The 24,727-nt window shown below is 43.2% G+C and overlaps 2 long non-coding RNA genes across 9 annotated transcripts in view, besides 3 other annotated features; one reads left to right on the top strand and one right to left on the bottom strand.

Moving 5' to 3' along the window:
* LOC101928331 (uncharacterized) overlaps window positions 1-24,727 on the bottom strand; it is an 84,318-nt gene that overhangs the window by 39,395 nt on the left and 20,196 nt on the right. For 2 of the 6 annotated variants that reach the window (XR_001743996.3, XR_001743995.3), the window contains exon 1: window positions 2,102-2,439. The exons of 3 other annotated variants lie outside the window; for them this stretch is intronic. This is a non-coding gene — a long non-coding RNA (uncharacterized LOC101928331). Of the gene's footprint in view, window positions 1-2,101; window positions 2,440-4,941; window positions 19,729-24,727 lie in introns of those variants that run through there. One more of the 6 variants, XR_007059467.1, reaches the window with a different exon arrangement.
* Window positions 1,809-2,033: a silencer, noted in NCBI's record as "fragment chr6:14474901-14475125 (GRCh37/hg19 assembly coordinates)". NCBI's record gives its function as "represses an EF-1alpha promoter that drives an FKBP-Casp9 reporter gene in an ReSE screen in HepG2 liver carcinoma cells {active_cell/tissue: HepG2}" and the evidence as "EXISTENCE:reporter gene assay evidence [ECO:0000049][PMID:32094911]".
* Window positions 3,021-3,521: an enhancer, noted in NCBI's record as "H3K27ac hESC enhancer chr6:14473413-14473913 (GRCh37/hg19 assembly coordinates)". NCBI's record gives its function as "activates a minimal SCP1, AML or CMV promoter by ChIP-STARR-seq in naive H9 embryonic stem cells {active_cell/tissue: H9 hESC(naive)}" and the evidence as "EXISTENCE:reporter gene assay evidence [ECO:0000049][PMID:30033119]".
* Window positions 3,522-4,022: an enhancer, noted in NCBI's record as "H3K27ac hESC enhancer chr6:14472912-14473412 (GRCh37/hg19 assembly coordinates)". NCBI's record gives its function as "activates a minimal SCP1, AML or CMV promoter by ChIP-STARR-seq in naive H9 embryonic stem cells {active_cell/tissue: H9 hESC(naive)}" and the evidence as "EXISTENCE:reporter gene assay evidence [ECO:0000049][PMID:30033119]".
* The window catches only part of LOC105374942 (uncharacterized), a 41,263-nt gene continuing 31,302 nt past the window's right edge, over window positions 14,767-24,727 (top strand). Inside the window, exons 1-3 of one of the 3 annotated variants that reach the window (XR_007059471.1) lie at window positions 14,767-14,855; window positions 15,367-15,456; window positions 16,182-16,294. This is a non-coding gene — a long non-coding RNA (uncharacterized LOC105374942). Of the gene's footprint in view, window positions 14,856-15,311; window positions 15,457-16,181; window positions 16,295-22,702; window positions 24,450-24,727 lie in introns of those variants that run through there. The other 2 variants (XR_007059470.1, XR_007059469.1) reach the window with 2 other exon arrangements.

Here is a 24,727-nt window from a genome sequence, read left to right as displayed (position 1 = left end):
GCAAGCAGAGGAGCTAACCATCCCACCGGGAGCCCACCCATGAGTGATGAATTCCAGTGACTGAGCCCAGTGTTGGGGGCTAGGGTAGAGGAAGAGTCCCTTGTGGACACGGTGGGAGGGAGGGAGGCATGAGGGGACAAGCAGGATGCCCTGACAGATTTTAACCCAGAAGCATGAATCCAGGTCTGAGGTCAGCAAACGTTTTCTGTAAAGGGCCAGATAGTAAATAATTTGTACTCTTTGTGGGCCATCCAGTCTCTGTCTACTTGACTCTGCCATCGTAGGGCAAAAACAACCACAGACAATAAATAAACGAACGGGCGTGTCTTGTGTTCCAATAAAAGATGGTTTACAAACACAGGCGGCTACTGGATCTGGCTCATTGGCTGTAGTTTTCTGACTGAAAGATCTAAAAGAACACCCTTTCCCATTGGTTCTGTCCATGTTTCCATATAGCTAACAATATCCTGGAGACCAGTTTGCCGCCCCGTTCCCCAAACCTTTATGTGCCTCTGATTTCTACACCCTGTTACTCTGTCTGCAAAAACCCCCAAATGCTGTAACTGGCTATTCACCTGGACAGAATGGCCTCCTTCAGGGAAAGCCAGCAGGGATGGTGAATTCAGATTTCCTGATTTCGTTGACAAATTCCTCACCACTGGCAGGAATGGGAAAGATAGATATTGAAGGTGCTGAAACCCACCCCTGTTGTCAGTTCAGGAGTGAGGTAAAAACATTCCTTGAGCAATTTGGTTTAGAATCATAGAGCCTCCTATTTTCTAATCCTTCTCTCTTTCTAGGTCTGATAATCTGAATATTGGCACTTCTACTTTATTCTCCATATTTCTTACCTTTTCTTTTCGTTTTCTGTTACTTCATACATTCCTCATGCTTTCTAGAAAAGCTCCTTAGTCTAATATTGCAACCCATAAGTTCCTTTAGCTATACTCACTCTACCATTTTCCCCATTCATTGCTGTGTTTTGTTTTGTTTTGTTTTAGAGTCAGGGTCTTGCTGTGTTGCCCAGGCTAGACTCAAACTCTTGGGCTCAAGGGATCATTCTGTCTGAGACCCCTAGGTAGCTGGGATTACAGGTGTGCACCACCATGCCTGCCATTGAGATCCTTAATCAAGTGTGAGACCCGGTGGAATGGCTAAGGGCTGGACACAGAGATAGATTACTTGTGTTCAAATCCCAGCTCTGCCTATAATTGCAGACAAGTTACTTAACGTTTCTGTGCCTTACTTCCCTCATCTGCAAAATGGGCTTAATAATAGCACCTGTCTTATTCTAGTGAGTATGTAAATGAGCAATGTTCACAGAGCACAGGGGAGAGCAGCATAGTTGAATTCACATTATTTTCAGAACTAGTGCTTCCAGTTCTTTATTCTTACAATTTCTTCCCTGTATTTTATATTGATATTACCTTCCCTTATTTCTTCACTCATATTAACCAGAATCCATTTGAATCCCAACTCTTGCAACACTTCTGCACAGTTTGTGGCCCTTTTCAGCAGGAGTACTCAGCAGGAACATGGTTGTGCCCAGGTGAACTTGCAGTCCCCCGGAATACCACTGAGGGGTTCCAGTGCTGCACATTCCAGAGGGCCACAGGAGTGGCAGGGCATAAGCCCCAGGGCAGGGTGGGAGCCCCACCACCCAAGACACTGTCCATCACTCACCAGAAACCTCTGTGGGGAGGTTTAACTTGAAACCCTTAGAATGATTCAGCACATGTAGGAGGCCGTCTCCAAGGTGGCCACCCACCAGCCTGGGGGCTAAGAGTGAAGGTTAGGGAGATCCTGAGTGCAGCTGCTCAGGCACCCTCTATTTTCATCAACTCCCCCTTCCATCAGGTTTTCTTCTGCCAGATATAAGTGCTGCCTCACCCCCACACCCTCAGACAATAGGACACCAGCACTGAGCCACTGTAGCCATTTCTGTGCTGGGGCAGTCAAGGCTGGTCCTCAGGCAACTCCTGGGTGGAGCAGATGTGGGGACACCAGAGCAGAATTTGTAAAGCTTACTTCCAACCTCCTCTCCAAAGGCGGCTTTGGGCCTCTTCCCTCAGCCCCCCACTGCAGCCACTACGTCCCCCACCTCATGCCAGATGAGACAAGCTGCTGTCACTCCAGAGATCTCTCAAGGTTTTGTGTTGTTGCAAGTGTTGTCAGTTCCTGGAGTTCATCTTTCCCTCTTGCTTCTATGGTTTCTCAAGGGTTGATTTTGGCAGCAGAAGCCTGTATGTTGTGCTAATTCTCCATCTCAGGAAGAAACAGAAAACAGAATCATGAAGTCTAAAGAAACTGAGGTGCTATCCAGCTTTCTGTCCTGGGTATGACTCTCTTATGATTGTCCAAATAAGATGTCATTTGGGCTTGGTGCGGTGGCTCACACCTGTAATCCCAGCACTTTGGGAGGCTGAGGCAGGTGGATCACAAGGTCAGGAGTTCAAGACCAGCCTGGCCAACATGGTGAAGCCCCATCTCTACTAAAAATACAAAAATTAGCCAGGCATGGTGGTGGGTGCCTATAATTCCAGCTACTCAGGAGGCTGAGGCAGGAGAATGGCTTGAATCCGGGAGGTGAAGGTTGCAGTGAGCCAAGATCGCACCACTGCACTCCAGCCTGGGTGACAGAGTGAGACTCCATCTCAAAAAAAAAAAAAAGTCATTTGGTCTCTGCTTCAAAATCCCCACCAATAGAACACATATGCATGACGGGATGGTTCTTCTCATTTTTTGCACTTTTTACTGAAAAATAACATACATACAAAAAAGTAGTTCATAAGCTCAACAGACTTTCACAAAGAGAACACACAGAAATATTCTGCACTGAAGTCTAGGAACTTTACAGGTAGGTTTGTTCACTTAATACGTCTAGCTGCTATAACCGAGAGCTATCACCAGAGCGTCCTTGTTATAGTGAAGAGTTGCATTTCTATAATTTCCACCAACTGTTTCAGTGCTACGAAGTTACACAAAATAAGTGCAATATTTTCTTTAAAAAACAAACAAACAAAAAAACTTTCTTAGAGCCAGATGTGGTGGCTCATTCCTATAGTCGCAGTTACTTGGGAGAATCATTTGAGCCCAGGAGTTCAAAACCAGCCTGGGCAACAGAGCAAGACCCCATCTCTAAAGAAAAGTTTTTTGTTTTTGTTTTTGTTTTTAACTTTTAAGCACTTAAAGTTACATATTTGTTTTCCTATGAGAAATCTTTTTGTCCCCCATCTTATATAATCTTACTCCTTTCAACCAGTTTTGCTGTAACAAGATGGTACTACGGTGATGAAATATGAAAATCTATAGGGTGGGAGGACTGACAGGCAAAGAGATGTTTGGAGAACAGATGTTTGGGGACAGAAAGTGACTTTCTGGGCTAGTCACAGCTGTATGAGGAGAAAAATAGAAACAGGATGGTGTCGGCCAGCAACAGCAACCCAGTTCTTTTCTGCTGAGTCACGCTGGAGGGTTTAGTTTCTCTGGGCCTCCCGGGTGGGCAGACACCGTGTCCAGAGAAAGCAAGAGATACCAGCTGCAGGACGAGGTCTTTCAGAGGGCCTGACATGAGGCAGCGGCAGCCCAAGAAACCAGGGCGGTGCAATCAGAACTGACAGCAGAGCAGGGAGATGACAACTCATCTGAGGCGGCACTGAGCAAATGTTCTAGCCGCTTCCAAGATTCAGCCAACCCTCATCTGAGAGTTAACTATAGAAGCAAGTGCCCTCCAAGTTCTCACTGACAGCCAAGGAGAGGGAATAAAGCATTATGTGTTGAGGATGACATGGATGAGAATTGCAAATTGTGGTAACTGAGGAATTGATGCTTGGTGTCAAGACACAATAGAAATGCTTATGTGGACAACATGAAGCATGAGCCTGGGGGCCATGGGAAGGGACTGGGCTAAGAGGGTGTGCAAAGTGAACATATTAAGCAGGCATCACTGGATGTACGTGCTTGTCCAGCTTTTTCCATATCCATGGGCCTGTCCTTTTAGCTTTTCTATGTGAGAGCTCTGAAAAGGAGAGCGTGAAGTAATCTGGTCTACAGGAGCCTTAGGAAAATCAGGGCCTTCTTCTCCTTCTCTTCCTCCTTCCTTTTCTTCTGTGTTAGTCCATTTTCATACTGCTATGAAGAAATACCCAAGATTGGGTAATTTATAAAGAAAATGAGGTTTAATGGACTCAGAGTTCTACATGGCTGGGGATGCCTCACAATCATAGTGGAAGGTGAAAGAGGAGCAAAGGCACGTCTTACATGGTGGCAGGCAAGAGAGTGTGTGTGGAGGAACTGCTCTTTATAAAACCATCAGATTTCATGAGACTTATTCACTATCATGAGAACAGCATGGGAAAACCCACTCCCATTATTCAATTACCTCCCAAGAGGTCCCCCCATGACACTTGGGGGTTATGGGAGCTGTAATTCAAGATGAGATTTGGGTGGGGACACAGTCAAACCATGTCATCTTCCCTAAATACTGGGTGAATTTAATACAAGGTATGGAAAAAGAACCCCTGGACTTGCATGGTCCCAACTATGCATCATATCTGTGCATACATTTATGTAGATATTTTATATGTTCTTTTGTATACTGTTTTCTTCTTAAATTTAATTGATGCTCTTTGTGTGTACAGGAAATCACTGAAAATAAAAGTGGTGTGATTGGTCTACTCCGTGTATAGAAACTACATGTCTTATGTCTTTGTTACTAGGATAGGTGTTTATAGCTTCTCCTGGATGTACACTTCTAACGTTTGGTCTTCTGGGTTGTAGTTACTTTTGCTCAGAAAGAATTCATCTGTTTCCTGTAGCTATGAGCTTAACTTGTTGCCTGTGGCTGTTTTCCCCTAGTATTCCATAGCCAGACTATGCAATTTAAAGCATAATGGCACTGGCTATGGAGTGTCCAAAAAGACCACCAGAAAAGAAAAAGTGTTGGTTAAGCAAAGCTGGGTTTTTAATAGACTTATTGCAATAAGAGAGAACATCAGCTTGATCTAGATACAGAATCCAGTAGCATCTCAGAAGAGAGAAGTCAGGGGAGGATTATTTAGGGTTTTAGGGCCTAGGCTGGGTGATTCTTAGGTGGGTCTTCAAAGGCAGGGAACTGGTTGGGATTGGGCAGAATTTATGGCACAATAGCTTTGGACTGGTAGGCACCACAAGGTGAGAATATGAAAGTGAGCTTTGATGAGTGACCCGTTAGTCCTGATAAGTCAGCTGTTTCAGTAGCTCCACAGTCTTATTTTCCAGGAGCGGGTATCCACTGGAGCAAGTAGCTGAGTTGTTTTTGCCTGATCTCAGCATTGTTCAACTAAAAGCCTATTCTTTATCCCAGAGTTGTTTAGCTAAGGAACAAGAAAATACATTAGTTTCAGTTCTTATGGAATTACAAAATTTGCTTAACTACAACTTCAACATGCAGAGAAAATATGGTTTTAATATTTTTCCCATAACTGATATGCTTTTATGGGTGAGCTGGTTAGTGGGGAAGTAACAGCAAAGCTGATGATGCAGTCATTTAAACAGCCCCTTTAATGGATACCCCACATCTTTAAGTAAAAATGCCCAATCACTCCAATTTTTCACACTTCTACTTTTCTCTGCAGCTCCTCTCCCAGATAGTTTCTTGGTATATAGGGGAAGGGATGTGACTTACGTGTCTTCTTACAGAAGGAAGAATAGACAGGTCAAGGTCCAGGGTCTGGTTCCTGGAGTCTCTCGCTTGCCACTTACCCCACTGGAGTTCATAGCTCAAGCTCACAGCCAGGATAATACTTGTTCTGGTTCCTCTCACTTGGTCAGGCCTGACAGCTCTCTCTGGGTGACTTTATCTTCCCTCAGCAATAGCCATTTGTAACACACTCTGATTCCTCATTCAATTCTCCAGCCTAGACAATCTATTTCCTGCCATAGAGGCCCTCATGTTAGACCAACTGACTCTATTCTAAGCTTCTCTACTGTAGAAATAAACGAAGACCAACCAAATGAGAAAAGCAAAGGCTATTTATTCAGAGCTTTCTATAGCAAGGGAGTCTGCCACTGTCACTTTTGGCAGCAATGCAAAGGCGGGCAGAGGAGTGGAGGAGCCTTAGAGTGGCATGAAGGGAAGGCTCCAGGTGTATGCTGATTGGAGGCTGTTGGCATGGGAAGCTGGAGGTGGCTGGCTCACTAGGAGCGGGGGCATCCTAAGTGATTACTTAGGGGTGAATATTTGCCTTTCTCTGGTTGGCCCTACGTTGGAAGCATGGACAAAAATTAGGGAAGCTGTCCATTATTCATAAAGTTCTGGTCATTTTTTGCAGATTATTACAGAAGTTACTATTCAGCTTCATTGATTGTTACTAGAGACAGCAATCTGGCCTCCTGCAAGTCTGACTTCAGGCAGGCTGGCTTCCTAGGCTGGTTATTGTAGATAAGGGGGGTGTTATATAGATAAGGTGGGCAGATTCCTGCAGATTGTGGGTCAGAGTTCTATTTTTTTTTTTTTTTTCAGACGGAGTTTCACTCTTGTTGCCCAGGCTGGAGTGCAATGGCGTGATCTCAGCTCACTGCAACTTCTGCTTCCCAGGTTCAAACAATTCTTCTGCCTCAGCCTCCCGAGTAGCTGGGATTACAAGCATGCACTACCATGCCTAGCTAATTTTGTATTTTCAGTAGAAACAGGGTTTCTCCATGCTGGTCAGGCTGGTCTCAAACTCCCAACCTCAGGTGATCCACTTGCCTCAGCCTCCCAAAGTGTTGGGATTACAGGCACAAGCCACCGCACCCGGCCAGAGTTCTATTTTTAAGTATGGTCTGGTCATTGTCCATTTGTATATTCAATCTTCCTTTACCAGATAGCAACTGATGGAGTCTTCCAGAAGGGCAAATTTCTCCCCAACCCCAATCCATCCCCTTGACAATGCTCCTCTATTTTGTCTCAGTGCCTCCTTGGTGTTTGCATTAACTCCTTTGGGATAGTCCTAAATCAGCCCCCTCCCCTTCACTCTCTCTTCATTTTTCCTCTCATCATCTCCTGGGACAGGAAGAGTAGGGCTTGCCTGTCTTCCTCTGTGGTATCTCCTCTTCCCATGGACCAGCAAGCTTCATGGCCTACCTGTTGTCTCCAAAAGAATAACTTTTCTACCCTGCAGGGAAACTTGTAGATCTGGGTGATTCTTGTTGGTGCTGAATAGGCTGTTGTATTTCTAATTTGTTCTTGAGGTCTCTCTCCGGACAGTGAATATAAACTCTAGTGCTGACTTGACAGGGCTCCAGGGATTTTCCTGTAGATGTTTACAGTGTGCCTTTCTTGGGGTGCTTCTTTATCTTGGTGGACAGCCTCATGCCTAAGTGTTCAACCTGTGACCAGGTGCCCCTCTCACAGAAAATTTGTTTATACTATCAGATGCCCTTGTGGCTTTTATCTGGACTGTGTCCAGTTTACTCCTGCCAAGATAGCCATTCTATAGGAGAACCATGATTTGGAAAGAAGTTAGGTTCACGTGTGTTGGTCAGGAGAGACACAGAGGAGGCAACTCCACAAAACACATGAAATACCAGAAGCAGTTTATTACTTACAGATCCCAGAGAAAGGAGGGCAGCACGTTTTGCAGGACCAGCAGAACAGAGGAACCTTCAGGGACATATGTGCTCACTCAGTGGGCAGAGAGCAAGGAAGGGAGAAAAACCTGTGGGTCAAAGCCTTTATTGGGGTCCAGAGCATTATCTAAGCAGGTTTCCCTGGGGGAGTTCTAACTGGTGAGTTCAGAGCAAGCAGACACGAATTCCATGGAGTTGTGCTGTGACTGAGAAGTGGTCACTGGTGCACATCTGTGCAGTCCACATGGGGTGTGGGGGTCAGTGAGGCAAGTCAAGTAGGCTGTGTCTAACTGTTCCCTAGGGAGGTGGTTGCCAGGGGAAAGGAGTTGTATAGGGCAGATGTCTGGATTAACCAGCTTGAGGAACTGGGAGGAGGCAGAAAACTGGAAACTGTGTCGAAGAAGATAAAGCCCTGCTTCTGTATGAGAAAGTCCAATTTATATTCAAAATGGATGCAAAGATAACATAAAATGATAAGAATTCAGTACATAGGCCAAAGGAGGAGATAAAGCAATTCAGATGGGTCTCAGGAAGAAAAAAAAAGTCTTCTTTCAAGACTATTATCTTGCTTGAAATCCTGTTTTAAATATCAAATGCTGAATATCCTCTTTTTTTCCCTTTGCACACCATAGAACACACCCACAGACCTCTGGGCTGATGACCTTGGAACCAATTAGAAATAAAGATCTATACTTGCACAATTGAAAGAGAAAATTACATTAATATTTTTTCAAAATATGGCTCCCATCATAGAAGGTATTCTTCACTAGGCTTACATAGAATTCTTTTGTCCTGCTTGCTTCAACTGGCTTTCTTTAGGGGAACAGAGGTTAATAGGGAGAAATGAAGCCATTTCTTGTGCCCTGTTTAGAAATGATCTCTTCCTCTTCATTTTAACTGCTGGAGAATAAAGTCTCTTTCATCCTCTCAGTACAGGGCTCCCTCTTCTCAGAAGGGCCTCCATTGGCTTTTCTATTTCCTCCCCATAATTTGAGCTCCCTACCCCCACGTGCTTGAATCTTAATGGAAAAATAGAGCTGCAACCCTTCACTTTTAAGAATCTTCTTCATAGGGCTCCCCAGCTACCTCCCCCTTTACTGAAAACCCTTTAAAGTTTGTGCATGCACATGTGTGTGCACACATGTGCATGTAATAATAGGCCCTCTATCCCTTCCTTGTCTTGATTGCTCTTACAGACTACATGTACTAATAATTTCATATTTGACTTTGACTGTTATTTCATTCCCTCTAGTTCTAAACCATTATTCTACATTTTTTCAGAGGCTCGTTATGACTCACTGGGCAGCCAAAGAAACATAATGAGTCCAAGATGATTGCACATGGTGGTACTCCACAAATAGATATTAAACAGCTCATGAAATCTATAAATGTCCTTACTATACTGGGTGCATTATAAAGCTATGAATCAATAATTCAGGCAAGTTTTTTTTAATGCTCTCTAAAAATCTAGCTCTCTAGACCTTTTTTCTCCCGGACACAAAAACTGTATGCATATAGGAAAAAGAAAGCCGAAGGAAATGAAGGAGGAGGAAGAGGAGGAGAAAGGGGGGAGAACAAAAGGAGAAATGGAGAAGAATACAAAGAGAGAGAAGAAATTATTTAAATAGCATAAGCCCTTTCTCACAGCTTTTTGACAGTTGCCCACATAAGGAATAAACAACAAAAGGCACAAAGTAGGCACTCAAAAAGGATTTATTGAATGAGCAAAGACGTTTTATAACCATACTTATTTTGGACTGAGTTTACACATTGGTTTTCATAGTAACCTCTATTCAATGTTTAACTCTGTGCCTGGAACTGTGCATGTATTCACTCAGTAGTTTTTAAATGTGAGGAAGGAACTGATATGGCCCCCCACTGGCTGGGTCGTAATAGCAGAGGCCACTGAAGGGCAATATGCAAGCTGAATGTTGAAAAAAAGCCAGTGATCAGGGGACGTTCCTGAGGGTACTGGGAAAAAACGAATGAGGAGTTAATTGAGTTTGGCTCTTGATATGGTTTGAATCTGTGTCCCCATCAAATCTCATGTTGACTTCTAACCCTCAGTGTTGGAGATAGAGCCTGATGGGAGGTGATTGGATCAAGGGGGTGTAGTTCTCATGGATAGGTTAAACCATCCCCTCAGTGCTGTTTTCATAATAGTGGGTGAGTGAGTTATCATGAGATCTGGTTGTTTAAAAGTGTGTAGCACCTCTTCCCTCTTTCTCTCTTTCTCCTGCTCTGGCCGTGTAGTATTGGCTCCCCTTTTGCCTTCTACCATGATTGTAAGTTTCCTGAAGCCTCCCCAGAAGCAGATGCCACTATGCTTCCTGTAGAGCCTGTGGAACTGTAAGCCAGTTAAACCTCTTTTCTTTATAAATTACCCAGTTTCAGGTATTTCTTTATAGCAATGCGAGAACAGATTAATACAGTTCCCCCTTTAGGATCCCGTCTGTTTGTGAATGATTCCACCATCTTTTAACTGGCCCAACCCAAACATCTGGGCATCATCTCAGACTTACTACCGGACCCAATTCCTCACCAAATTCCTCAATAGTTCTCACATATACTTCCTGCTGCCCCACCACCACTGCCAAATTTCATATTGTCACTGACTCTTGTGTTGATCATTGAAGGAACATGCCAAACAATCTCCCTGCTTCTAGTCCTGCTTTCTCCCACACTACATACCAGAGGAATCTTTTGAAATTCCAACCAGATTATGTTACTTTTCTGCTTAAAAATCTTTCAGTAATTTCCCATTGTCTTCAGGATAGAACCCAAACGCATTCACAGAACATACAGAGTCCTTCATGATCTCTCCCTCGCCTCCCCTCCAACCTCATCGCTTACCATCCTCCTACCTACCAGTCCTTCCCTGCAGTCACCTTGATCATTTGCACCTTCCCCAGGACATTTTCAAGTCTCTGAGCCTCCACATGTTTCTCTCTGAAATTATTTCTCCCTTCTCATTATTTCTTTCAAGACATTGTGTCTTTTCAAGACATCTTTTAAGACTTAGCTCTGTTTTCCTTTGGGACGCTTTCCCCATTCTCCTGCCCTTTCTTTCCTTTTAACTAACTGCTCCTTCACTACCTCCAATATACACACACCTCAAAAGTGGTTTTCATGCCTACATCATCCAGGGTCCCAACAGAAAACAGATGACACCCTCTGATCAATCTAAATATGAGGAAAGTTTATTTACAAGCAACTAATTATAAAGTTGTGGGTGTAGTTAAGTGAAACTACAGGAACTGGTACAGAAACTTTGGACTAGCAGCAGCAGTGGAGCTCTCATTATCTGTAGGTCGTAAGGGAGAAGGTAAGGGAGACAGTAGGTGAGTTTGGGATGAGCAGTGATATTTGATGGAGTCATCTTCCCAAGGAGAGAAAGAAATACTCCAGAGCTGCCTCTCCTCTCTGCCCCAGTCTCCTAAAGTGCTGCCTGTCAGTTGAAGCCAACAAGAAACCAGACGGCCCAGGAGTCTTGTTGACGTGGTCCATGTAGACCAATCTCCCAGGGAAGAGCAAAGGTGGTGTAAGGGAGGAAAGCTTTTTCCTCTACCCTCTTAGGTTCTGCAGCTGGGCCTGAGAATTAAACTGACAAAAGACAGAGAAACAGGAGAAAAGCATAGACATTTTATTTGATGTTAATATTTTTGCATGGCATAGGAGACTTCACAGAAAAAAGAAATGAAAAGGCCCGAGAGGGTATATACCATTTCAACAAAGAATGATCAACTGTGGAGATGTGAAAGATCAACTGTGGAGCGAAAGGAGTTGGGGCTGGGGCAGCAAATTGTGGGAAAGTGACTAGGAAATATTGGAGAAACTAGTGGAAGATAAAGGTTGTTTTCGTAGGTTTGTTTGTACAGATTCATCTTGACATTGACTCTCTGTCTTCAGTAATAGGAATGTTCTCTTCTCCCTGGTAAGGGAAAGGAAGGCACTTTTCTTGTAGGAAGTCTGTGCCAGCTTTTGGGTAGAAAGGGAGAGATCAGAGAGCCTTTCCTACAGCTGCTGTTCATTCAGCTCAAAATAATCAATATGCTAAAGTTGCCTGTTTTAGAGTGGCAAGTTCTGATTCCTATCAGTGGAGAAAGATCTAGTAAATCTGGAGGTGCCCAGTGCCCTTTTTCTGTGCCCCACAGCTTCCTGTGCACACCTCTTCAAACCCACGCCTCCTGCTAAATTTTAACTGCTCCACTCCCTAGCTCGTCTCTCAGCCATATGAAAGGCAGCTGGGCCTTTCACCTCTTTTCACCAGTGTGTACCACAGTGATTGGCACATAACTAATGGTAACTGAACTCAATAAATATTCTCTAAAATTAAATAACAAAATTTTGAATGCATACATGCCAGAATTGTTGGAGACTTTAGAAAATATTTAGTTCACTCTTCTTATTTCAAAGATGGAAAAACTAAAACCAAGAGGTGAATAGCCTTGTTCAAGAGTTAAAATTAATACACAGCATTAACGGTATGGTATACACAGTATTAATTTTCAGGACCAGATCTTAGTTTTTCTAATTCCCAATCTTCCTCTACTACTTAATTTTAACTGTAATCTCAGGTTATTCCTTGGAAGCAAAATTCACACGACTTTTCCATAAAACTAAGAGTCTTATGTTTTGGCAACAAGAAAGAGACAGCGAGAGGGGTTGGATCTGCCTGCTTTGAGTCCTTTGCCAAAAACAATCTCTGAGCTCTCTGGATAAGCAACACTTGCAAACCTAGCAAAGTGCCACAAGTTGGAGTCATGAAATGAAGCACGAGGCTCGGGAATAACGCCTTTACACAAACTACCTCTGGTGGTGGGTGGTGAGAGTGGTTTTGTTTTAACATCCTATTAGCACATTATCTTTCATTTCCAAAGCCTTTATTGGTTCCAAGCCTACAGGTGGTGATGGGGGGTGGGAAGGAGATTGAGTAAGATGTTCCTTAGTTGGGAGGCAAAGCTGTTGGTGCCTCCTCGTTTGATGAGTCAGCAATCGGCTGCTGCTGCTGCTGCTGCTGCTGCTACCACCACTGCTGTTAGTTATTTTGTTGTTGTTTTTTTTCTTGGGAAATGCAACCATTGCTTCTGAAATGATTGCATGCCAAGTGCAAAAGATAGAAGCATTGATCATACTGGGCTGGAATCACCTGTTTATTTATCTGCCCTCACTAAACTGTGTGCTCTTAGAGAGCATAGATTATGCCCTTTGTCTAGGTAACTCCAGACCCTGGCCAAGCGTCTAATGCTTTGTTGGTGACACCACAAAAACATAAAAAAAAAAAAAAAAAAAAAAAGGCTAGGTGGACTTGAGAATATGGACTCAGTGGTCAGGGATGCAATTCTTTTTTTTTTTTTTTTTTTTTTTTGAGACGAAGTCTTGCTCTTTCACCCAGGCTGGAGTGCAGTGGCACGATCTCAGCTCACTGCAAGCTCCGCCTCCCGGGTTCACGCCATTCTCCTGCCTCAGCCTCCCAAGTAGCTGGGACTACAGGCATGTGCCACCACGCCTGGCTAATTTTTTGTATTTTTTAGTAGAGACGGGGTTTCACCATGTTAGCCAGGATGGTCTCGATCTGCTGACCTCGTGATCCACCGGCCTCAGCCTCCCAAAGTGCCGGGATTACAGGCGTGAGCCACCGCACCTGGCCAGGGATGCAATTCTAAGTCCTAGCACTCTGATGAGCATTCTTATGTCACTTCACTAGCAGAGGGTGGTTCTAGTACCATCATGCAGCTGTTGCAAGGATCCAAGAAGATTGTGTGATTGAAACTTCATGTGATACAAACTGTAAAAGTTGGGTATAGCTTAATTTCGCAGAAGCTATTGGCTAACCCCATGACTTTCGGCAAGTTAAACCACCTGTGAACCTCAGTATCCACAGCGGTAAAATAAGAAGTTTGGAAACTATGATGTACAAAGTCCTTTTCTGCTCTGAAATTCTCCTAAATTTCTTTGCTGTCAAACACCCCAACTCTCTTCTTTGACAGGGTAGAAGACAATCCATGAAGCTGCCACTAAAAAGGATAAAAGGAACTATGTGGGTTTATGATCACAACCAATTATGCTACTGCCAAAAGAAAAACAGCACTGAATATTTTAGTTTCTCAGAGGACGTGCAATGTTTGAAAATCATCTTCCTTCTTGCATTAAAAAAAAAAAGAAAAAGAAAAAAAGAAAAGTGGGAGAGCCATCACATTCTGTGCATAACTTTTCTACTTATAGACAAAATTTTCAATTCATTTTTTTCCTTTCTGGAGGTGTGAGGGAAAATTCCCATAGCTGGAGGAGTGTGGAAGTCAGGGGACTGTAGGAGAATGTAAGTGTGATCGTGGGACTACACTTAATTCATTAAAATGTGTGGTTTATAAAAACCACTTTGCCAAAAATGAGCTTTGTGGGAAGGAGAAGGCAGCAGGGATATGGATGCGTGGGGGAAAGGGAGGAGTAAGAAGTGCCAAGAGAGAGGGAAGTCTTATTTGTTGCTAAATGTTGAATCCCACATAAGAATATGTCATGAGCCAATTTAGGAAAATTAAAATGCAACTTGGGGGAGTGAAAATCTATTAGGCACAGATATTACGTGTTGACATTATTATCATCCTATTTTTATATAAATTGTGAACATTCTCCAGTAACTTTAAAAAGTTTGGGGAAACTTTTTTTTTTAATTATCCTCCTTTCACATTTTCTCTCTTTTCCTAGGTGAAATGGCAGTAATATAAGAACATTGTGCTTTTATTCCTTTCCTGTCACTACTGTGAATTGTTTCGGAAACAAACTGCATTTTTTAGGTTAACATTGGCTGCTGTAACAAATAAACCTCAAACTTTTGTGACTTAACACAACAACAGAATTTTATTTCTCATTCACAGAACAGTCTGGTGGAAGTATTCCCGGTGGGCACACCACTTTCCTCAATGAGATAACTCAAAGATTGAGGCTCTGCTATGGCTTGAATGTGTCCCATCCAAAATTCGAGTGTTGCCAGTGTGATTGATAGTATTCAAAGATAGGGCCTTGAAGAAGTGATTAGGCCATAAGGTCTCTACTCTCAGGAATGATATTAGCTGTCCTTATAATAGGTGTTGATAGAGGAAGTTCATCCCTTTTTGCCCTTCTGCTATCTACCATGTGAGGATACATCTCTTTTTCCCCTCAGGGGTTGCAGCATTGAAGGCACCATCTTGGAAGCAGAGACTAGACCCTCACCAAGCAATTAACATGCTGGTGCATTGATCTTGGACTTTCCAGCCTCCAGAACTGTGAGAAATAAATTTCTGTTCTTAATTAATTACCCAGTCCCAGGTATTCTGTTATAGCAGCACAAAGCTTAGACGGGCTCCTTACATCTTGAGGCTCCATTATCTCCTGGGAACTGGGAGTCCTTAGGTTCTAGCCATGGAAAGAGAAACAAAAGATGGAGAAGGCACACATGCTTCTTAATGGTCGTGGTTCAGAAGTAACAAATACTAATTCTATATATTCTACTGGCTCAACACAAATGCAGGGGTGTGCTGGGAATGGAGTCTCTGATTGGGCAGCAGGGATCAGGGATCAAAGATCAGGAAATATTCCAGGGTGAATATTTTACTAGGTGAGGAGGACCATGAATTTTGACAAACAGCCTTTGCTGCTCTACCCACTCCTCATCATCACTGTTAGACACAAAGAGAAATGGCAGCACTTTTTGTCCATTGATTGTAACTCTTTCTTTAAAGACTTTTAAGGCAGAATCTCAATTCATCTCTTCTATGAAACTTTCATGATTCAAAGGGAAGTCCCTGCATGGACACTGCCAGCTTCATTGCACTTCTGCCTCTATGCTTTTTCCTGAACCTTCTCCACCTCTGGAACGTACTTCAGGTAAGGCACCTGTGCCTGATCCTTGTGATGTCTTCTTGCATCTGTTATTCCTCTGCTTATTCACCTCAGGGGATCCCCTCTCTCAGAGACATTTGTTCTGTCAAAGAATTTACTAAGCATTCACAAACTAGTAGGAAGATAGCTTTTCTTTAAGAAATCTCTTGGCAGGCAGACCCCGCCCCCCAAATCATACAAATCATGCCCAGGACATCCCTATGTCAGAACTCACCAGGAACCAAAGGGTTCCCTTTCCTTATTTATAAGTCAATGTTAGAGCCAACTCACTTTTTAGAGGTGTAAAAACTGAGATCTAAGGAGGTTAAGTAGAGCTATGCCTGAAATTTCACAACTAGTTTGTGAAGAACCAAGCTTAGGATCCAGGAGTCCTGACATTCCACTAGCACTCTTTCCATTCTGTCATGGAGTCTTAAGAGCCAATACCAGTATGCATTCTCAACCCATGGAAGAGACAGACACTTAAGTGAGTGTGTGTATATAAATGTGCTGTGTGTGATGATTTTTTCCTGCCAGGCTTGTCATTTCCCTTTACCACCCAACAATTTTTATTTCTTAGAGCATGTAACATTGTTTTGGTCTCCACAGTATTTCCACTACAGCATGGCATTTGCTGGGTGTATTAGTCTGTTCTCACATTGCTATAAAGAACTACCTGAGACTGGGTAATTTACAAAGAAAAGAGGTTTAATTGGCTCCTGATTCTGCAGGCTGCACAGGGAGCATGGCTGGGAGGCCTCAGGAAACTGACAATCATCAGTAGAAGATGAAGAGGAAGGAGGCGCATCTTACATGGCCAGAGAAGGAGGAAGAATAAGAAGGGGTAAGTGCTACACCCTTCTAAACAACTAGATCACGTGAGAACTCACTGTTGTGAGAATAGCAGGGGGAAAATCTGCCCCCAGGATCAAATCACCTCCCACCAGACCCCTCCTCCAACATTGGGGATTACAATTTGCCATGAGATTTGGATGGGGACACAGAGCTAAACCATATCAGTAGGTGACTAGTTAGTAGTTTTTTTCTTTTACACAAAAGCTAGTGTTGACATAAATTATCATAGCATCAAAGATACCTAGAAATAAACCAATCAAAATATGTACAGGATATCAAAGTCAGGTCTAAATATTATTGAAAGAAATTGAAGAAGACCTAAATAAATTAAAAAATACATCACTTTTATGAACTGGAAGGATCTCATCACTGTAAATAAGTCAAACCTCTCCAAATTGATCTACAGAATCAATATAATGCCAATCTAAATCCCAGGAAGGTGTTTTGAGGAAATTGACAGGCCTATTCAAAAACTAATACAGATATGTCAAGTCTTAACAGTAACAGAGACAACCTTGAAGAAAAATGAAGTGGGAAGATATCGTGACTCACTTTTAAAAGTGCACCAAGTAAAACAGAGTCGTATTGGTCATGGGATAGAAAAATGGACCAATAAAAAGAATTGAAAATCTGGAAACAGATCCACACATATATGTATACTTGATTTGATTTATGACATAGGGAATCATGGGGAAAGGCTAAGCCCTTAATAAATGACACTGGTTCAATTACATATTCATATGGAAAAAAAATCTTGATCCCTATCACACACTATACACAAATACCATTCCAAATGTGAAAGGCAAAACAATAAATCTTCTAGAGGGTTTGGCAAACTTTTTCTGTAAAGAGCCAGAGAATAAACATTCTGGGCTTTGTGTGCCATAAGGTCTGTTGTAGCACAAAAGTAGTCATGGGTGATGTGTAAATGAATGAGCATGACTGTATCCCAATAAAACTTTATTTACAAAAACAGTTGGCAGAATGGATTTGGATCACAGTCCATAGTTTGCCAACCCCTGTTCTAGAAGTTAACATGGGAGAATATCTTTATGATCTTAGAAGATTTTTAAATAGTCACAAAATGTCCTAATCAAAAAGGCAAAGATACATTGTGGTCCTTTAATTTTAAGACGTTCTGTTCACCCCAAAATACCATTAAAGTACCGAAGAGGCAACCCACATAGTGGGAGAAATTATTTGCAACACATATAACGCATGTCCAGGATAAGTGAAAACTACAAATTAATAAGGAAGACAAATAACCCAGTGCCATGTTCAGGCACTTCACCAAAGGTAGCCAAATTGCCAATTAACATTTCCAAAGGTACTCAACTTTATCAGTCTTCAGGAAAATAAAAATTAAAACCACAATGACATGCTACTACACACCTATTGGAACAATCATAATTTAAAAGCCTGACAATACCAAATGTTAGCAAGGATTTTGAACATACACACTGTTGGTGGAAGCGTAAACTGGCACATTTCCACTTTGGAAAACTCTTTGGCAAGGTTCCTCTAACGCTGAGTACTACATGCATACTTTCTGACTCAGCAATTCCACTTGCAGATATGTACTCCCACAGAAATATACACAAAAGACATGTATAAGAATGTTTGTGGCAGCATTATTCATAATAACCTCAAATTTTAAACAACCTAAATGTCCATTAAAGGGACAGTTGAATGGGTAAATAACTCATAGTATATTTATAGAATGGAAAACTATTCAGCAGTAAAAATACATGAACTCCTATTACATGCAAATCTACTAAAACTTTCAAATGTAACAGTAAGTGAAAGTCACCAGACCTGAAAGAATACAGAATGTATCATTCTAATTATATGTGGCTCAAATGCAAATAAAACTAACCTATGGCGTTATAAGTCAGGACAGTGGTAACCTTTGGAGAGAAGGAAGAGCATGATAAATTGGAGGGAATATTCAGTGGGTTTCTTGGGTGCTGATAATGCTCTATTCTTTAACCTGAGTGGCACTTACACAGGTACATTCATTTTGTGATAGCTCACTGGACTATATACTTATGCTCTATGTACTTTTCTGTATATATGCAGTACTTCATTTAAAGGTTTTAGAAATCTATCGAAGAAAAAAAAAAAGCCACTGCCTCCTGTTCCAACTATATGTTTCAATCCCCAGAGCAGGTCAGACACAATAGCTGTAGAGATGCTTAGGTAGCACTGAAACGCTACTGGACAAAGGCACATGGCTTACAAGTGTTCACACAGTCTCCTTCCACTGGCTCAAAGACCCAGCTGGCTCTAATACATTAAACTTAAAAGGTCACCAGGCCTGGTGACCACCTCACAGAAGGAATAGATTCTAGATGCACCCAGAGAAGTTCGTCTCAGAACTATCAGGTCAGGAAAATGAGGTTGTGAAGTCAGAACTGTAAAGCAATTCTGTTGTTCTAGCAACTGCCTTACGTTGGTCTCTTTCCTGCTCCTATTCTCTGTTAAATCTTGTAAAAGTCTTTACTCACAGGACAAGTGGCTCTCTATACTAGGTGGCTTAGATTTAGGTTTCCCTAAAGATGGGATGGATTGATTGCATATATTTGGAGCTCTATTGCTTTTTAATACCCAATAGCAAAGAATCCTATTCCTGAATCCTAGAACTTCAACCTTCATAAGACAGCGAAAGCGAATTTTGACCCTCCCAATCAAAGTAGAAGAATATTTATTCCGTCTCCTTCATATTTTCCTCTTCTCATCCTTGAAATCTTAATTAAAACTTCCTAAATTCATTTCCTCTAAGTATACCACAGTAGCCAGAACCCTTATTGGCATTGAGAATTTTCTTTGGCGGAGGTATAATTGCTCCTCTGTCAGTGTCCGGTGGAAGCTAACCTGAGTGGCATGTTTTCATAAGCTTTGGTGGTTGAGAGAATGCCACCAGGATGGCAAGCAGGGGATGTGTCAAACACCTCACCTTGAAAGGAGCACAGGCCTTGAAGTCAGACAGACTGAAGCTCCAACACAGTGCCCAACACTCACTAGATGCTCGACCTTAAACAAATTACTTAATGTAGTTTAGAATCAGTTCCTAAATTATAAAATAAATAAAATAGTGTTTATCAGAATGGCATAAAGTAAGAAGAGGAGGAGGAAGAGGAGGAGGAGGAAGAAAGAAGAACATAAATAGCACTTGCTGTGTGCCTGGCATTGTTCTGTGTGCTATGTACATGTTGACTCATTTCTATGTAATTGTCACAGCAATCCTAGAACACAGGCTCTGTTCATATCACCAGTTTATAAATGAGGAGCCAAGGCATAGAGAGGTGAAGTAACTTGCCTGAGGTCAGATGGCTACAAAGTGGTGGAGGGAGGACACTGATCCAAGCAGTCTGGCCACAGGGTCCACGTTCTTAGGCACAACACCCAATTGGTTTCTTGCCCCTAAAGTAGAGGCAATAAAGCATGGATTACTCACTTCAAGTAATGCTTCTTCCATCCCCTTTCTCACAAAGTTCAATGGCATATCTAATTTTTAGGTTTAGAAAGAGAGAAATTAAGAAGATCCTCGTATGTTTCTCTCATTTAATAGCACCACCTGTATCTTGCTTGCACCTCCTCAGTGAACAACTATAGAGAATAGGGCTGCTTTGGTAAGTTCTTTACTCAATACACACACGATGAGCACCTATGGCATGCCAAGCACTATCCTAGGTAATAAAAGAGCCAAGGGGCCACGCCAGCTTCTTCTCCACTCTCCCTCTCTCACTGGATTCATAAGTCCACATGGAAATGCTGTGGCCTCAGGACTAAAGAATGAAGTCTGGGCCAGCGACAGGCCAATGCTCATACAGCCCTAACTTGTCCATCAGCTGCCAGAGAGGTCTGCATGAATCCAGAACTAAATCCAATCCTGGGTTATGCAGAGAGAGCCTTCTCCAGCCTGGATTTGCTCCTGAAACAGCAAGTACATTGTTCCTAACTCCAGGCCACGCTTGCCAGTAGCAGCTCATGACCTTCCAGAAGTTACTTTGCCTTTATAGAGCAGACTGTAATTTTAACTCCCACTCCCCCGCCCCCAACTTTATTTTTTCATCAAAAATTAATTTAAACACCAATGAAAGCTCAGAATCCATTCACTCTGATTGGCAAGAAAGGAAAGAGAAAAGAAAAGCAAAAACACATTTTGTTGTTTGCCACACCTGAACTGGCAGAGTCTTCAAGAGTTGTGCTGAGGTTGGAATTTAACACTCCCGCCTCCAACACAAACACTCCTGTGGTGGGGGGAGGTGGGGGGATGTGCTCACTAGGCCGCCCTCAGATCTGTGCGTTGATGGCGAAAACAAGGCCCTGAAACACATGTCCTGCAAAACTTGAATAAGTCATGACCTACACAAGGCAAACCTTGCTACCTACTGCTTCTCTTTTCCTCTCCCCACTTCCGTCTTTTTCCTTCCCACAGAGCTTCTCCTTTCCTTCACAAAGCTTGGGAAGCACCCTCTGTATAAACTAAACTGTACATGAAAATCCAGGTCCAAGTCCACCATTCCAAGGCCATCAGTACCTTCAACATGGGAAGCTAAGACTAAGAATTGGGACTTGGAGAGCTTTCCTGAGACCTCCTTTCCTGTCGTATCTGCCTTCCTACAAGCCCTTGTCTGAGAAGTATGTATTGAGATGGAATAAACTGTAGGACTTCTGGGTATTTCTCTCTAGGCTTCCAGCCCAAGCTTGTATCTTTGGAATGTTCTCAGGGTTGGCCCAAGAGCCATGGTGATCATAGCAAGCCCAGGCTCTAGTGATGTGGGCACTGTGGAAAGTTTCCTGGGGAGTGTGTCATGTTGAATCAAATGCGAATGCTTCCCCTAAACTCGATGTTCTTGAAGTTTATGTAAATAGGAGGCAGGAGAAGCTCTAGTAACTGCAGTTCTCCCCATTTGAATCATTGGTTTTACTCTTTGCACTGTGTCCAATGCAGCCCACTCTGCAGAGCAATAGGAGTCAATTCTGAGGCTCCAAGGGCCAGGAGGAAGGAGAGAGCTGACAGCTCCCAGAAGAGGAAAAAGCAGGGTCACTGTCCAGCTTTCTGGAGTTGCAGGATTGGTTTTCTGCTGGACTCCCCAAGTGGCAATCTACAGGCCTCTTTCCAGAATTACCAGACTCTGGGGAGACAATAAGAAAGAAACTAAAACAATTTTTGAAAAGTTTTCCAAAGTTGGTGAATGCTATATATAGCCCCCAGTTGGCTTTGATAATTGCTCGGCTACAGGGAGAGGGGAACATGATGTGATTTGTGGGTGTCTTGATTGCAAGTTTTGGCCAAGGCCTAGGTTGTTCTGAATTAAGACTGAGGAAGCAGAATTTCCCTTAGGGCCATGGTACTGACTTTGAGCTGGGATCTTCTGGAAGACTCCATAGAGTGGAAGAACAGTTGCCTATTATGCTTATGTAACAGGATTATAGATTCTTTCACTCTGAGAATCTTTGTGAAATGACCTAGGATGCCTGAACTTCATAATGTTGAGAAATCATCTAAGCTGAGGGGATGCTGGGTTGATTCTGGGTGTTGGAACAAATATTGCCACTTGGGTCTTGTGTTGTCTGAGGTTGGACTCCCCAGAAGCAGACCCTGAGTGATTCATTTAAGGAATATTACCGGAAAAAACTGGTTAGGGGTTTGAGAAGTGGGCCCCAAAAGGAAAGGAGGATGCCAGGACAGGGTGCAACACTGAGCAAAGCCCCAGGAAAGGAAACGCTGAGATGTGACTTACTCTCTCTCCAGATCTTCCTGTGTACTGTCACTGCTGTCCTGGCCAGGGGCCAAGGAAGCTAGAGTATTTACACCTCCCTCTCACCTGTCATTCACCGGTTAAGGACTGTCATTTCTATAAGGAAGTCAGTCTTCATTATTGCACTATCAAAATAGTTTCTGGACCGAGGGCAGCCCTCTGATAAACAGATATAGCTGCTGCTTGGGCACACCTGGACCTGGGTGTATGAAAATAATAAAGGGCTTGTAAGGGGAGTGGTCCAAGTACTAAGTGAGTCAGCTATATTTTGTCTGGGCTTGCTATGGACTAAACTGTGTCCCCACCAAATTCGTATGCTAAAGTCTTAACTGCCCCCCCCCCAATATGACTATATTTGGAGATAGGGCCTTTATGAGGTAATTACGGCTAAGTGGGATCACAAGGGTGGACCCCTAATCCAACTGGACTGGTGGCCTCATAAAGAGAGGAAGAGACACCAGGGATGTCCCCCCCACCGTCTCTTTTCATGCACACTCAGAAGAAAGGCCATGTGAGGACACAGCCAGAAGCCAGCTGTCTGCAAACCAGGAAGAGAGCCCTCACCAGGAATCAAATTGGCACCTTGATCTTGGACTTCTCAGCCTCCAAGACTGTGAGAGAATAAAATTCTGTTGTTTAAGACTGTGTGTGGTATTTTGTTATGGCAGCCCAAGTGAATAAGACAGTACCAAATAGCTCTGGGCTGGCAGGCATTGCTTTGGGTCAGTCATACACAGAGTAGGTATATTTATCTGTAAGAGAAACTCTACTGATGCAATCCATGGTACACAAGTACCAAAGGCTGCGAGCGGTCACCGTTGATTTGTCAATGCTGTGGGCCCTGCCATTGGTCCCAGAGTTAGTGTCAGCCAGTGGTCCTTTGGGGTCTTCCCCTCACCTCACCTTAAATTTTTTGATTCACATTCCCTCTGCTTTGTTTGACTGCATGAAGGTGGGACAGATGCTGTGTTCGCAGGAGGGCACCAGTGTGCTTTTCTGTTTTCTCCCCTACTTCCCAATCATTCCATCTGAAAAGAATGCATGAAACCAGATTCTAAAGAACCAGCATGTCTTTTTAAACTTCCTGGCCACCTCTTAGTGGGTGGAGATCCCACAACAAAGCAGGAACTATCTAGAGTATAGATGTCCGGCCAACCTGCTCACGTGGCCCAAAGGTGAGACCTGAGCTCACGGTTGCTAGCCACTGAGCACCCAGGCCATGCTGAGCACAGGGCACCGCAGGGCAGAGACTTCTGAAGTTACAGCCTTGCCACTTAACGCGAGAAAGAGCTTCCCGAAGCCAGAAGCTCAACTATGTGCTGCTCAAGAATGGCATGCTGGTGGTGGCAGGCAGCCTACGGAGGAACAGAGAAACGATGTGGAGTAGCAGACCTGGCCTCAGTGTTACCTCCTTCTCCATAACTGTGGGACTGGCAAGGAGAAAAGAAAGTGGGGCAACAACCAGAAGAGCCCAAATGACTGCTTTTGTCCGGGCACAAATATCGCTAGTTATGCCATGCCCCCACTGAGCCTCTAGATCCTTGTCAAATCCTTTTCCGCAGACTAAAATTAATCATTCACATATAAACAAATGTAAATATATTTTTAGCATGCCTCAGAAAACCCACCTTCCTGTTGGGTTTTGGGGCTCTCTCTCCAAGTCAACTGGCATATCACAAAAGCAACTGCAACTGCTTAGAACTTTCCACCGCATACAGGCGACTGTGACCCCAGGTGACATCTGACTGTGGATGCCAAAATGACTTGTGTTGTGAGATTACAATCTCTAACTGCCTTGTGGTTTCAGAAGGCAGGAGAGGCCAGAACTTAAGAGAGGGTGAGGGCTTAAAAATTCAAGGTGAGGAGTTCCAGAAAAACCCACACATTTTGAGGGTCATTTGTGTGGCTTCCTGCGGAAGGTTTTAAAAGCCAGAGCACAGTACTGTTGAGACGTTAGCCAGTGGAAATAAAGGAAATCCTCCACCCAGCCAAGCAGCTAGCTGGATGGCAGCCCCCAGTTGGGGATGGTATTTCACCCTGTGAGGGCAGGCGGCAAAGGAAGAGAAACCGACCAACTGTCACCAATCTGAAAGAATTTGAGGGCCAGAAGGATAACAGCATGATTTAAAAAAAAAAAAAAGTATTCTTTTAAAGGCATACACAGGACATATGATCCCTAAGTAATAGCTCGTAATTAATAAAATAACTCTGTGTTCCTGCCAAAGTACTCTTTTTCTAACTCATTTGCAGACATTAGATACCTCTTACCTCTTCTTTGCACTTATCATCATTCCACGAAAATACGAGATTGGGGCAAATAAGGATTTGCATTGACAGGACATCTTGTGCTTTTCAAATAGTCCGTTCCACCGAGAGGTAAGGATAACATAATTAGAAGAAAATTGTGGGATGTGTCCATGGGCGGATGTGGTGGCTCACGCCCGTGATCCCAACACTTTGAAAGGCCAAGGTGGGAGGATTGCTTGAGGCCAGGAGTTCAAGACTAGCCCGGACAACATAGTGAGACCCTGTTTCTACAAAAAAAAAAAATTAAAAAATTAGCCAGGCATGGTGACACATGCCTGTAGTCCTAGCTACTCAAGGGACTGAGATGGGAAGATCACTTGAGCCCAGGAGTTCCAGGCTGCAGTGAG

Source organism: Homo sapiens, chromosome 6, assembly GCF_000001405.40.
Source record: "Homo sapiens chromosome 6, GRCh38.p14 Primary Assembly".
Taxonomy (NCBI): Eukaryota; Metazoa; Chordata; class Mammalia; order Primates; family Hominidae; genus Homo; species Homo sapiens.
The sequence above is the reverse complement of the archived record's forward strand: the minus strand, read 5'-3'. Positions and strand labels throughout refer to the sequence as shown.